The 15,647-nt window shown below is 37.5% G+C and overlaps 1 long non-coding RNA gene across 1 annotated transcript; it reads left to right on the top strand.

The window, feature by feature from the left end:
- The first annotated feature begins 983 nt into the window (after positions 1–983).
- On the top strand, positions 984–14,890 carry LOC105377911 (uncharacterized). The gene is made up of 5 exons (XR_001743887.2): positions 984–1,081; positions 2,583–2,751; positions 7,609–7,645; positions 12,404–12,478; positions 12,648–14,890. It is a non-coding gene; the product is annotated as an uncharacterized LOC105377911 (long non-coding RNA).
- The last annotated feature ends 757 nt before the right edge of the window (positions 14,891–15,647 follow it).

Here is a 15,647-nt window from a genome sequence, read left to right as displayed (position 1 = left end):
TAATGACTATTTCAAATTGCTGCATTGTAATCCAGTTACATTAGCTGGATTATATTTAAGGCCTGCTGGCTTCATCTAATTTAAGGCGGAGTTCAATGACCAAATAAATAAGTTTTATAACAAAGAGACATTTGTTTTAGGGCCCCCTGCATAGTATCCCAAAAGAGACTTTCCTAAGTATCCTTCTATGGCAATCAAGGTAAAATTATTTGTCCTTTCTCAGTCTTGGCTTTCTTACCACCTTTATATGAAGTATAGGTATAGTGATGCCTGTTGGAGGACTAAGATTTAACTGAATGATATTATAACTAGAGCTATAATGATAGTATAAACTATAATTGTTTAGCAAGTAGTCGAATTAAAGTTGGTGCTGATATTTTTAAAATGGTAAAGCAGTTCCGAGAATAATAATTTTATTCCCAACCCTGGCTATCTGTGATTATTTTAAAATGTAACCTAGAAAAAGGCACAAGCCATTTATAATATTTCAAATGTGAAAAGTGAAAAAAAAAACCCAAAACATCACCTTCATTTATTATTTTAAAAATATGGTGAGTTATTTTAGCCAAGAAGAAATGAACACAGATTGTGATGAACATGCTTAACATGTACTTTGAATAAGAAAATCAATACATTAAATGACATGTTAGAAGCGTTAAACAAAGGAGAAAAGCCAAAGAACTATATTGAAAGGCATGTTTTCCAGCATAGCTGTTTTCAATTGCTAAACGTTCTTCTCCTGTAGCATATGAAGGGCGCCTAGTGACCTCCAGCTGAGGAATCCATATAGCTCTGCACCCTTCCCCCACCTGACAGACAGCTGATGTCCTAGGCGTGCCTCTGCCCCTGCACTCTATTAACTCTTGGGATAGAGCAGCTCTTTATGCAGCAAAGCACAGTTCCAGCAGTCTATGTCTTTCGTGTGTTTTAACAATCAAAACTCACTTCTCTCTCTCTCTAATGATTTGTTTCTCTCTAGTACTTATATCCAAAAGGAAGATGCTCACAGTCATAAAGTGGTCCATAGCCTCTAACAACACAGTGGTGAGGCATGCATTGCTCCCTGGAAATCAAGTGCACTGTAAGTCATGGCCTGGAAAACTGACCCAGTGTGTACCTGCAGCTTTTCCACCAGTGGCTTCCCACATGGCCATTGTTCTCTTAATTTGTTAGAAATTAAGACAAGTATCTATATGGAAATGGCTTTTTTTTAATCTTGCAAGAAAATGCATAAAAATGGATATTTTTAGATGAGGGACTATAGCTGATTATTTTAACTGTATTTCCAAAATTTTTAAAAATGTGCTTAAATAAACAAATATGACTTTTGTAGGTAAAATAATTGAGCAAACTTTATCTAACAAAGAAAAAGGAATTTTGATGTTTTTATAATTTGAGTCCTTGCCTTTCAGTACATTTCAGGAGTTCAGTAAAATCTGAGTTTATGTCTTAATCTATTACCAAAGTCTAAGGAAAGCAGGACTCAGGGCCATCACTGGGAAAAGCTGAAGCTGAAATGTCCTGAAGATATCTCACTGTTACTTTTGAGAGCTTTCATGGTACAATCAACTCAGTCACGTTACTGTATAGCAGTGGTTTCTATACTTCAGAGAACTAAAGAAGGAGACTACAGCTTAAGTTGTAGAAGCCCTCTACCCTTGAAGCCCTGAATGTAGGATGCAAATGGACATGCATCTTGAATTAAGGGAATAGTGTTTGGCTCTAACCTACCTGGGCTGGGCTGGCATATAGCAAATCATGCAGCAGCTGAAAGCAATGTAAAAGTTACTTTAGAGCCTACAAAAATGGATTGCGTAAATGAAATGCAAAATGATCCACGGTGATGGATTGTCTGAATATGTATGTATCCATTCTCCTTTTCTTCTTCAGTACTGTGGAATCTCTCTGGTGAGGTCAGGGACCACATGTATTTTGTGTAATTTCCCCTAGAAGTGCCTGACACATAGTAGGCACTCACTGAATTTCTCTTGAATGAGTGAGCTGTGAGGCTGACTCAAAATTAAAGCATCAGATATGATCAGAAGCTGATTAAATGAGCAAGCACACACTATGACCTCTAGCACAATGCCCAGGACAAGAGCAGGTGGGCACACAGCAAGTGCTAGATGATGTCTTCCTATAGACCTTGGTATTTTCTGCTTTCTATAAAGTTGTGTACTTTAGTATACAGGGATGATTTACCAAATGGCAACATTTCTGCCTTTGTGGATATTAATAAGTAATTGTTTTAAGAAATAAATTTTTTAAAGATTCTAGAATCAAATAAGATTGGGGAATGCTGATTACACTATTCCACCATTAGAATTTTTCTACTTAACTAAATATTTGAGAAGTACGACAGTAAAGCAACTTGCTTAACCTCTTTGAAAACATGTTTCTATCTTTATGAAGGTTTTGTATACACAATAGTTCTACAATATGTGTTATGAAAAATAGCAATCCTTCACCCCAGTTTCTCATTTCCTTCTTCCCCAAGGCACTGATTGATTCTGTTGTCATTTATTTCAATGCCTCTAAGTAGCCTTAAACAATTGCTTACACTCCCTTTTTTTTTGTTTTAGGCACTATATATTGACTTCCGACAATGAAAGTATTTGGAGAAGGGCTCAGACAGTGTCACAAGCCTCAAGCAGTGCAGGCTAGAACTCACAGGCAAAAGAACGGGCAGAATACATGGAGACCCCAGCCTGCAGACCCTCGGCATCACATAGAGAGGTGTACTTGGGCCAGGTTTGTACTCTAGGAGAGGAATGCCTCTGTAGTCTCTGTTGCTTTCTTTGCATATGGGGTTGGGGAAGGCAGGCAATGTGACAATAGGGCTTTTACATACATAAAAGTGGTGTTGCCAGTGGAGACCAACACCTTGCAGCTTGATACCAGCTGCCTAGGGGAGTGGCAAACCAGTTCTGATAGACCCTGTAGGGAGAGGAGCGCTGGTCCCATTGACTTGTTGCCAGGCAACCAGAGAAGAGAAGTGCTGGCTCACTAGTGGGCAATCCTATAGGACTGTTTCACTCTACTGCCCCCACTTCCAATGCCCTATCCTCCTAGTAGAGTTTTTTTTTTTAATACGTTTGATTAGATTAGTATTCAGTTGCTCAATATCATGACCACTTAAAATGCTATTCATGGTTGAACCATATAGTATCCTTTGATTAATTTCTCTTTCAGTACAACTTTTTATTTTCCCTGGAATTATTTTATTGTTTTATGTTTGCAAAGTTCTCTATGTACCTGTCACTAATTTATACACAAACTCTCTCTCAGTCATATGGATCTCTTCTTAATATGTTCAAACACATTAAGCATTCCTGCAGTTTTATTTTCCTGAAATACCTTTTCCAGAGTCTTCAGACCTGCTCTGTCTGAATATCTTTTTTTTTTTTGCCCTCAATGCCTGTTGCACACTTGTACTCTGGTTTCTCACTGTTGAAGTGTCCTCTCTTGGTACCCTGCCCAGATCCCCTTATAGGGTTGGGGCACATGCCCTCCCACTGATGTGAACGCTAATGCCTCAAAGATGCCCTCTTCTTCAGGAATGACTTTCAGCCCAATGAGAGTAACCTCAACCAGAAGGTTACACCTTTCTCACTGGGACCTCTCCACAGTCAATGGTGGATTGACACAAAAATACAAAAGTTGGGTCTCCTTGCCTCTAGGTGGTACCATCTCTGTGGTGCAATTTATGCCCCAAAGCTCCCTGTGGGACCAGGCTGAGATACCCTCCAGCTGAGTTGACATCTTTGCTTGCTTCCTTCCCCTTTCCTATTCTGCTCCCCACTGTCTCTCTCTCTCTCTCTGCTGAAAGTGATCCCTCTGTAAATAACAAGCACATGAATTCCTAATTCAGTCTCTGCTTCTAGGATACTTGACCTAAGACAACCACGACCCTAAGGTTTATTTTCACAACTTTTGAGTTGACTCTCTTTTTCTGGATCTAGGTCTTTCTCTTTCTTGGTGTATTTTCCTGGGTAAAAGACACTTTTTGTTAACTTCCTGAGCATGTGGGAAATTAAGTTTTTATTTAGTAAATGACATAAAACATTTTCATTCTACTCTCACACGGGATAAATCATTTTACTTTGTGTAGAATTTTATATTGGAAATAATTTTGCATCAGAATTTTGGAGATAGGACTTCATTACTTCAAGCGTTCATTGCTATTGTTGAGAAGTCTGGTGAATTTCTGACTCCTGAACTTTGTGTTATCTTTTTTTTCCCTTCAGTGTACATTCTTAGGGTCTGTTTTCTTCTCTAGTGTTCTGAAATTTCTCAGTGATATGGATTGATATGAGTCTATTTTGATTTATTGCATTGAGTACAAAATGGGCTTGAATCGGCAACTTACGTACTTCAATTCTGGGAAATTTTAAGAAATTATTTATTTGAAGACTTTCCACCCTTAGTTTTGTCTGTTCTCTGTTTTTATAATCCCTATTATTTGGATGTTGGAATTCTTGAATTAATTATTTTTAAAAATATTTTTCTCTTATTTATCATTAATTTGTGTTTTTCTCTACTTTATGGAAGATATTTTTCAATTTTATTCTCTAATCCTCTCTGAATTTTTCATTTCTGTAAGCATATTTTTAACCTTTAACAACTCACAAAATTTATATATATATATATATATATATTGAGATGGAGTTTTGCTCTTGTTGTTCAGGCTGGAGTGCAACGGTGCGATGTCAGCTCACTGCAATCTCCGCCTGCCAGGTTCAAACAATTCTCCTACCTCAACCTTCTGAGTAGCTGGGATTACACGTACCCGCCACCATGCCCAGCTAATTTTTGTATTTTTAGTATAGACAGGGTTTCACCATGTTGGCCAGACTGGTCTCGAACTCCTGACCTCGTGCTCCACCCGCCTCGGCCTCCCAAAGTGCTGGGATTACAGGCGTGATCCACCATGCCCAGACTAAAATCATTTTTGTTTGCTTGTTTGTTTTTGTTTTTTAAAAAAGGAAAAAAATGAACAACCCTCCTCCACAAAAATTTATATAGCTTTTTAAAACCAATAATTTTCTCAGTTCTATTTTTATGGTGTCTTTATCTTGTTTCACAGACTCAATATTTTATCTTATTTATTTAAAGATTTAATAATTCTTGGATTTTTTTTCTTGCATAGTTTCTATTTTCTCCAAGTTGCTTTCTTGCTGTTATCTCTTTTATAAAAGATACTCTTTTCTGTTGTTATCATTACAGTTGGTGTGGTCTCTGTCCTTATGATAGTTCAAGAATCCCTCAGATTTTTGGTAATTCTTGGTTGACTTCTTAACTTTAAGAGTGAGGTGCTGAAAAGCTGTTTGTTAATTCCATGTGCTTGGCCAGAGTTCTTCAACTATATGCCTCTTTGTACAGTTATTAGGCTATGCTGTTTCATGTGGGAGACATCTTACATTATTGTACTGGTTAAAATGTGTGTTCAGTTTTGGGTAACAGAGAATTGAAAGAAGAGAAGCTTAAACAAGAAAGACACTTATTTCCATTCAATGTAAATCTGGGTTAGTAGAGTGCTATAGAGTGTCCAGGATTCAGACATCTTCTGTCTTGCTGCTCCACAGTCTCTAGGATGTTTCTGTGCATTCTGTGTTCCAAGAAGCCTTGGCATCATGTCTACATTCTAGCTAATAAGAAGAAGGAAGGAAGGATATATATATCCCACCTTTTGAAGTTATACATACAGCATTTGCTTACATCCCATTGGCTAGAAATATTGGCCACATCTCATGGCAAGGGAGGTTGGGAAATTTGTCCATTTTTTTTTACAATATGCATATAGCCATATGCTTAATAAAAAATTATATTATTATGGAAGAAGGGAAAATTAGATATTGGGAGACACCTAGAAAACTCTGCCAGTCATGCCTTTAGGGGATTTCTCTCAGTCTGGTTACATCCCCCAGAAAATATTCTTCCAAAACCCTGCCTGGAAAGCTCAGAATTCTGAGAATTAAATGGGACACAAAAGCTGAGTTAGTGGTAGTGCTAGTAGTGGGGACTGTGTTTCATTGTTTAGTTGTATACTTTTACTTCATGATGCCACGTGTTCTCTAGTCCAAAGACCAGCTCTCCAGAAATAACTCAGTTTTCTGTTGGGAGTGGAGAGCAAGTTGATTGAAATGTTGAACAGTGATGTTTCTGGAGTCGGGAGGAGGTCTGGGAGTCTAATATCCAACCAGTCCTTGTGTTTTCAGTCCATCCTAGTTCCAGAAGTAGTTGCCCCTAATTCCTAAGGACAGTAGAAATTGGATTGCTTCTCAGAGTTTCCCACTCCTTGACTTGGGATTCCATTTTTTTTTAAGTCTCCTAAGTGATTAACCATTCATCCATCTGCATTATAGCTTCCAGTATTTTGTTTTTGTTGGCTCCTCACCAGTTCTATTAATCCTGTTGAGTTATGATTTTTTAAAAATCCTCTTGCATTTGTTTTAGTGAGAAGGAATGGAGACAAATTAATAGGTTCAACCCATCATCTTTAATTCAAACTCTGAACTGTTTTTTAATACTTTTTGCTTTAGCATCTCACTTCTTTTATTGTTGAAACACATTTCCAATGGAAAATACAATATTGATAGGATCATGATGGTGATGATAATAATAGCCAAATGCACTTAGTTCTTACTTTTTTGTTGTTTTGTATAAATTTAAGGGATATGAATGCAATTGTTACATGCATATATTGGTGAAGTCTTGGCTTTTAGTGTATCCATCACCCAAATAACATACACTGTATCCAGTAAGTAATGACTCATCACTATCCTCTCTTCCACCCTTCTAGTTCTCCAATGTCTATTATTCCACACTCTATGTTTACGTGTACACCTTATTTCGCTCCCACTTACAAGTGAGAATATGTAGCATTTGGCTTTCTGTTTCTGAATTGTTTCACTTAAGATAATGGCCTCCAGTTTCAGCCACATTGCTGCAAAAGACATGATATAGTTCTTTTTTATGGCTAAATAGTATTCCATTGTGTATAGATACTACCTTTTCTTTATCCAATCATTTAGTGATTGACACTTAGGCTGATTCCACATCTTTGTTATTATGATAGTGCTGCAATAAGTATACTGGGGTTTTTTTTGTTAATTTTTAGGCACACCATTTATATGTGCTCTTAGATCCAGGCACATGAGGCTCTTACACAAAGCCCCAAACTCAAGGGGTCTTGTACTTTGGGAATGCCTACTTTAACAATTTCTGTGGTGGTTACTTTTTATGTGTCAACTTGACTGGGTTAGGGGATGCCCAGTAAAACCTAATTTCTGGGTATGTCTATGAGGGTGTTTCTGGAAGACATTAGCATTTGAATCAGCAGACTGAGTAAAGAAAATCCACCCTCACCAATGTGGGCAGGCATCATCCAATCCATTGAGGGCCCAGGTAGAACAAAATGGTTGAGGAATAGCAAATTAATTCTCTCTTCTGGAGCTGAGATATCCATCTTCTTCTGCTTTTGGACATCAGCACTCCCCCAGTTCTCAGGCCTTTAACTTCAAACTGAGAGTTATACCATTGGTTCCTCTGGTTATCAGGCCCTTGAACAAAGGCAAAATCATGCTTTCCTGGTTCTTTGGCTTGCAGATGGCACATCATGGAACTTCTTGGCCTCAATAATCAGGTGAGCCAATTGCCATATTATATTATCTTATTCTATCTATCTATCTATCTATCTATCTATCTATCTATCTTTCTATCTATCTATCTATCTATCTATCTATCTATCTATCTATCTATCTATCCTATTGGTTCTGTTTCTCTAGAAAACCCTGTCTAACATAATTTCTTTTCTTTTCTTTTTTTCTTTTCTTGAGATGGAGTCTTGCTCTGTCTCCCAGGCTGAAGTGCAGTGGCGTGATCTTGGCTCACTGCAACCTCTGCCTCCCAGGTTCAAGCAATTCTCCTGCCTCAGCCTCCTGAGTAGCTGGGACCACAGGCAAGTGCCACCATACCTGGCTAAGGCTAATATAGTTATAAGGCCTTCTGTGGGGCTTGGGATTAACCAGGGCTGGCAATGCCACCCAGACAGAGTACTCCAAGCCCTAATTAGAACCATATAGGCCCTGGTTCTTGTTTCTTTTCTTTAGGGTACTCTCTGACCTCTACTCCTTGTGTGGTATTGACCAGATGCCTTGGGAAGCTCTAAAACTCATATCAGTCATCCCAAGGCCTGGTAGCCAGCCTGGTTCCAGTGGTCCACCCTGATAAACTGAGCCCTCCCACTGTCTGACGCAGAATTCTTTCACAAAAGCATGTGAGATTGGGTTATAAGAATGAGGCTCACGTGCTTATTTTGGGTGACTCTCACTCAGTCAGAATAAGGATGAAGTCTTTTATACTGCTTGGGGAATGCACAAATACGTAAGTTCCTTTTCTCTACCATAATTAAATCTTCATCGACAAATCACTGGATCTCATTTGGCCCTGTGAAGATTCTTCATCCTGTGTCTAATTGAACAAGAGTCACCCCAAATGCAAGTCTTACCTAAGTTATACCAGAAAATGTGAAGACATTCACTTTGTGACTATGTTAAACTTACCATTTGGAAATTGATAGTGTCAAAGTAGATTAACGTATCTTTCAACTATGTCTCCTCTCAAATGCTTTAGGATGCAATCACTGCATTCCTAGAAAGTAATCTATCTCAGTATCAGCTGCACCTCTGACTTTACACACTGCTATCAGCAGTAGGAGGGCGCCTGTGGGCAGTGAGTAAAGTGGTTCCTATACACATATGTAGGACTATGCTGGTGATTTTAGCTGGTTCTGATCATTGGGTGCCTTGTTCTGCCCCAGTCTTCATATATTTTGAATATCAACCCTTTTTACTTCATTTAACTTTGTTTTATTGTGCTTATTGCACTGATATAACTGAAAGTTAAATTGATAAAGTCCTTTGCCTAAATTTGCAAGCTGAGAAGTAAATGGCAGAGCAGGAGTGTTGTCCAAAGGCTATCTCATTCTAGAATTTGTTTCCCAGACTATCGCATCTCAGATTGGAAAACTCTGATGCAGAGTTTAGGCATTCCTCCCTATACCCCATGAACCCATTGCACTTTTTAGTACTCTCTACCCTAATTAAAGTAGTTAGATTATTGTACTATACTTGTATTATAAATATTCTGGTAACTTCATGTAGCTGCAGTGTCTAAAAGAATAAAATGAAATGGTAAAAGGCTTAGAGTGTGGAGCAGTAAAAAAGTTTTTAGGCTTTTATTCACACCAAACTGAACACAAACTTCAGGAAGTTACTTCAGCTTTCTAAGTGTTGATTTCCTCATCTGTAAGAGGAGAATACTTATAGCTATTTTGGTAATTAGTTGAGGGTATTAAATACGATTACATAGATAAACCATAGTGACTATACATAGAAGGTACTAAATGAACGTATCTTGTTTTTCCCCAGGTCCCAACACACACATTTAAGCCTATGGATAATTCTGGTGTACAGCTCTCTCTAGGGAGAACAAACTCTGTCAACATATATCCTTGAGTCCTATCAGAGATATAAAAGAAAGAATCAGGCACATAAATAAATGTATGTTGCAGATTCTTATCTTTGATTACTTAATTTTGCAAAATAGTTTAATCTCATGATAGACAATTTTATAGAAAAATTTGTTTAGTATAACCTAGGCTTCAGTAACTATTTTTTAGTTTTCGGGGCTTGGAACGAGCCGAAAATACATATCACAAAATACTTGTTAAAATGAGCTCAACACTTTACAAAAAGGAAAGCAAAAGCAAAAAGGATGAATTTTTTAAATGCATATAATTTTGTAGATCCACTTTTGGGAATCTTTTGAACATGAAAAACACAGTGAGGGCAAAAGTTATTTTTTATGGTAAGTTGGTGAGTTTGCAAAAGTGAAGTTGGAGAGGTTTTTGACATCCAAGAGCCAAGATTTGTAGACAGCAGCTGGCTAGTATTATCCTCACATTTCCAAGCACGATAGACATGTAGGAATGAGGTAGTTTCTGAATACTAATCTTGGGAGAAAACCAACCAAAAATTCTGCTGCTCATCATTGTTATCTGAATTGTCTTTTTCCCTTTCCTGCCACTGCTTTCCATTTGCAGGACATACTATCCTGGTCACTAGGCCTATGGGAGAGGTTTTGCACATTCATGCCCCACCTGCTTTCCACACTGGATGTGAAGGTCGATTCTTCATGGAGCTCTTTGCCATGTGTGGAGAGGACAGAGTGATAGCTGTGTGATCCCATCTGGGAAAACTGTTGCTGAATGTTTACTTTATGAAAAATAGCCTTGTAGTGTTGGATGGTAAAAACTGGCAGAGACCATTTTTGGCTATTCAGAGAACTAAATTACATGAAGTCTTAGCCCTTTTCCATGGGAAAAAAAAAAACTGCACATTTATATTTTTTAATAACGCTTCTCCATTCTTAGAATGGAAGCCTTCACAGAAGTCATGGCCACCCTACTCCACCCCTAGAGGTAAAGGCATTCACATATTCATATTCAGGATGATTAAATCCCAACTTTTATACATTTTCTCATTAATCATTTCATAAAGGAAATACAAAATTGAACATTAAAATCTTACTGACAAGATGCTGGTTACTAGCTGTGCATCCCTTGAAAAAAATAGAAATTAAATTATAAATCAAGTCAACTTTTAAAGTCACAATGGAATCATACATATTTGAAATGTATGCACAAGCTCAATAGACTCTGCCCATAATATTGTCTAGCAAAGATAAGAATCAGAGAAAAAACTGAAAACTGTTTATTGTGTGCAGTCGCTGAACACATATATACCTCCAAACAGGATGGCAGATGTGGAACAGCTGCTCATTATCCATATTGGAAGAGGGAATCTATCTTTGAAATTATTTATAACCTGCTTCATGATTAGGTCTACTATTTTTCTTTGGGGTAAATAAAATTAAGCATTCATGGACACAATTTTAAAATATATGTTATTTGCAACAAAAACACTCACTTATATCAGATTATCAAAATGCTTCACACTTTAATCATAGCCATATTCATGAAGGTCCTATTACACACAGTAATGATAGCAAACACTTACCAAATGCTTACCATACGTATCAGGCTTCACTCTAAACATTTTAAACTCATTTGATCCTCACAACTACTTTAAGAGAAAGGTGCTATTCTCATTCTTGTTTTACAAATTTTAGGAAGGTCATTAACTTGCCCAACATCACATAGCTAATAAATGGTGTTGCCAGGATTCAAATACCAGCATTCTGACTCCAGAATCTGCATTTGGCTAAACTGTCACATTGTATACTATTGTTCATAAAAAAAATGTAGACTATTTCAAGTTTTTATGTTATGTAGTGTGAGAAAACTGTTACCTTGGGAGAGAAACTTTCCAAGCAACAGTATTACCAGTCAGGATAGGCTTGGCTAAACTATGGCAATAAAATGACACAATAACATTACATGTCCAAGGTGGGTCTGTACCTCAGGTATTTTTTTTTTTTTTGGCAGAAGAGAGGACATGAAAGTGGCATATCAATTCTTAAAAAATGCCTTAGCACAGAAGTCTCACATTTCACTTCCACTCATGTTTCATTGGATGAAAATAGTCAATTGGCCTCGCCTAACCACAAGGCTCTTGGGAAATGTGAGCAAAGAGTAGACAGATTAGAAAAAGGCAGTTGAGGCCAAAGAAGAATAAAAAGGTTGTAAGGAAGCATTTAGCTGCTCTAAATGTATATGTCACAAACTCTTAGATTACAGGAATTTAGTAGACATGGTATGTCCAAACTTCAAGAAAACATTTGCCAACAGTGTCAAGTAGACTGATAGAGAGACAATGATTGGAAAGCATTGTAGTTAAAGAACAAGGATAGCCTTTGGGGAGGTCAGCTGGACACTTAACAGCCCCTTACAGGGGCCTTGGCCTGATCGTCAGCTCTTATGTCCAGAAACACCAGATGGCTGGCACGTCTGAAAGTATAGGTCTCCCAAAGACAGACTAAGTATAATCCTACTGATAAGTGTAATGTTTAGATCAGATTACCAATATTATTAATTTATAATGAGAATGATAAAGGTGGAGCAGTCTTCTTATTTCAACTGACATAAATTTTGTATGTGTGGAATCAATTTATAGGAAGTCAAGAAATATATGACAAAAGCAAAAAGAGTGAGCTAGATTATTTGAATTATAATTGGCTTGAAGCTAGAACCCTTCACTATGCCAGACTACAAAGGTAGGTCCATGTGTAAGCACTGGTGAGAATGACATCTCAAACTCAGCCAAGCCTATTTTCACTTGATCTGCTTGTCACTTCAGCTAGCAAGCAGAGCAAAGGTCTTGTAGGCTGAAATGGATCAGCTGAATCTAACACTGAGAGACCTATTGGTTGTATATTCCAGATCCTTTACCTGGGCTCCAGACTTCGACTACACAAAGGCAGAGCAGGGATATATGGAGATTATAAATGCTCGCTGGTATGTGTTTGCTCTTTTATATTTTCCAGGCTCTCTTGCAGTTAAGTTTGCCATTCACTGGTTCTGACAGTGGAATGTGAGTGGAAGTGACATGTGTCACTTCTGAGATGAGGTGGTTAAAGATCAGGTGTGCCTTTCTCCATGTTCTCTTCCTCCTTTCTGCCAGCAGGATGATACCAGGAGACTGTGAAGTGGTGAGATGGTGAAGCCACAAGTTTAAAGCAGTGTGATTCCTCAGTCACCTCTTTGAAGTGAACAACTTAAATCTCATCAGACTGGGATGTGAGCAAGAATAAGTCTTGATTCTATCAAGCCATTAAGATCTTGAAGTTGTTTGTTTACTTCTGAAATATGTTTAAGGATTTTAGTTGGCAGTAAATTTACATGGATCAACTAGAAAGATGCTTTCTATCCTTGACTTCTCAGCAATATTTAACTACAAGCCCCCTTTCCTAATAGAAACATTCAATTCCTTTTGCTTCTGTGGCCCAGCATCCTCCAGGTTTTCCTCCTGTCCTGCTAGCTGCTCCTTTCTCTGCCTTTCTTTGTGTCCTCTTCCAAAGGACTATTAATTGTTGAGTTTCTTTTGGTTCAGTCTTCTGGCCTTTCCTCTTTTCATTTTTTTTTTCATGTGATTTGGATTACCATCTATATGCGAGAAGACTCGGAAATTTATATCACTACCTTAAATGTTCTTCTGCACTCCACACACATAATCCAACTTCCTAATTGATATTTTCTCATGGACTTTTCAATGACTCTTCATACAAACCTGCACTCAGAATTTTTCTTTCCAAATCTGGCCCTCTTCAATGTTTCCCACCTCAGGGAATGGCACACCACCTATCCAGTCACATGAGACAGAAACCAAAAGTCCAGCAATCCTTCCTCACCCCTGTCCACTCTTCTCCCACCTTAGCTGATCCATTACCAAGTCTTATCAATTTCCCTCCTAAATATTTATCAAATGCATTCTCTCCCTGCTGGCTCCACCAACGATCCTGCCATTATCTCTTACCCAAGCTCCTGCAATAGCCTTTTTACTAATCTGTGTGCATATGCTCTGGTGTCTCTTCAATCCTGATCCACTCTTCATAGTAATATTTAAAAATTAAAAACTTGTCTCTTTCCTATTTAAAGTTCCTCAATAGTTTTTCCATTTGTTGTGTTAGGCTAATGATAAAACATGATTTTGACGATCCTGCACATTCTGGCGCCTTCTACCTCTCTGGCTCACCTCACCTCCTGCAGACTCCATGGTTCTTTGCTCCATTCATACTGGACTTCCTTCCATCCCTCAAACTTTCATCAGGTTTTCTCCTGTGACTCCCACTGCACATGTCCTGACACACTTCTTTCTCTTCTTAACCTATCAAGTCTACCTTTCCTTCAGCTTCTGCTCAAGAAAGAAGCCATTTTGATCTCCTGATTAGTTCAAATCTTCCTATAACAGGTTTTCATAAGACTGTATACTTTTTATTAGGACTTGTCATGGGTGCAATTTTACATCTATTTGTGTGATTACTTGATACCTCTCAGTATCCTCCACTAAACAATAAGCTCTAAGGAAGTAGGGACATGTTGTCTTTTGTTCGTTTTTATCTCCAGCCTCTAATACAGTGCCGGACATAGATGAGGCTCTTTCAGTGAGTATTTGCCAAAGGAAGAATGGTAGGAAGATGGGAAAGAAGGGAGGAAATAAAATAGAAGAAGATGAGTCCATATCTTCTCTATATTTGCCAATTTGCACCTGGAGCATTGGATTAAGTTCTGGGTGCCATATTTTGAGATAAAAACAAGCTGGAATATATTCAGAAGAAAGGAATCAGAAAGATCAGGAGAGGCAAAGTTGGGATTGATGCATCAAATAGGTAATTGGATGCTTTTTTCAATTTCTTCCAACCAAAAGTTTCTAATTCAAAGAAACTACTTCATGTTGTAAAATAATTTACATAATTCCTCTTTCACAAATTAAGGCATTTAAAAGGAAAACACTTTCATGTTTGTAAATAATCTTTAAAATAGTTTACTGAGAAAAAATGCATGAAAAAATTCTGCAGTGTCTCTGGGCACTTATTTTGATTGACTGGTGCAGGCACTTTTAGCCCCCTTTCTCCTGCTTTCTATTTCTATTCTAATACAACGGAATTATCTTTTTGCAATAAATTTCATGAGTAGTCTACTGTGAACATATATGTTCTAATCAAAGAAGATATAGCTTATAATGATTGTCAAAATCATTCTTTTTTATTATGTAGATTTACTGCCTGATTACTTCTAAGTGTGATTTTTTGCCTTTTGATACTATTGCTTATGTACATGAAATTTAGAGTTATGGATTAAAGAATATATAACCAGATTAGCTGCAAACTATGAACATTAATAAAAGAGACTAATAAAATTATAAAACTATCTACTATGGCTATTTATTGAAAATTACAAATTTCCTAAAAGTTGCTGATATTTGTTATGTATCATAAGCAATAGTTTTGACTTCCACAATTTTTTTCATTTGTGCTTCTCTTTTGTAAAAATACAAATTTTGTTTATTAATATCTTTCTTTAGACCAAAACAAATCATTCAGTGAAGGAGGAATTTATGTCAGTTTCTGGAAAAAGTATGAAGATTAATCCCTTCATTAGTCAAGGAGGAATTATAACTGATTTCTTCATTTTCTTCTGCATTATTTCAAGCACTTCTCTTTTATACTTCAGAAATCCATGATGCCAAATATATACTTCTCACAAATTATAAACCTTTGAATTACATCCCTGAGGAGTTTTCTGTTTGTTTCAACACCAATAAAAACAGAGAATTGAATTACATATTTCTGAATTAGGGAAGGATATTAATAATTTCAAAAGGAGGCATTGCATTCTGCAGCATTTAGTTAGCCACAGTGGAACAATATTAAACTGGATCTGCCTCATTCAGTAACCAAGCGTCAGTCAGTGACCACCTTAAGGGAGCCAAGCTCTAGGGTAGAAGCTATTGGAGTCTTGTGGCCATGATGTTGGAAGGAGAGGAAGGCACCCACTCTGTTTGGGAAAGATGCCTGGGTTGGAGCAACACTCACAGGGACATAGTCAAGGAACAATTCTTAGAAATCACATAGGATTGACCCCCAGCTCCAGACCCCAAGTAGGTAAAGGCCAAGGATAAGACAAA

The sequence above is a fragment of the Homo sapiens genome, chromosome 6 (assembly GCF_000001405.40).
Source record: "Homo sapiens chromosome 6, GRCh38.p14 Primary Assembly".
Lineage (NCBI taxonomy): Eukaryota > Metazoa > Chordata > Mammalia > Primates > Hominidae > Homo > Homo sapiens.
Note: the sequence above shows the minus strand (reverse complement) of the source record. Positions and strands in the feature narration are given on the sequence as shown.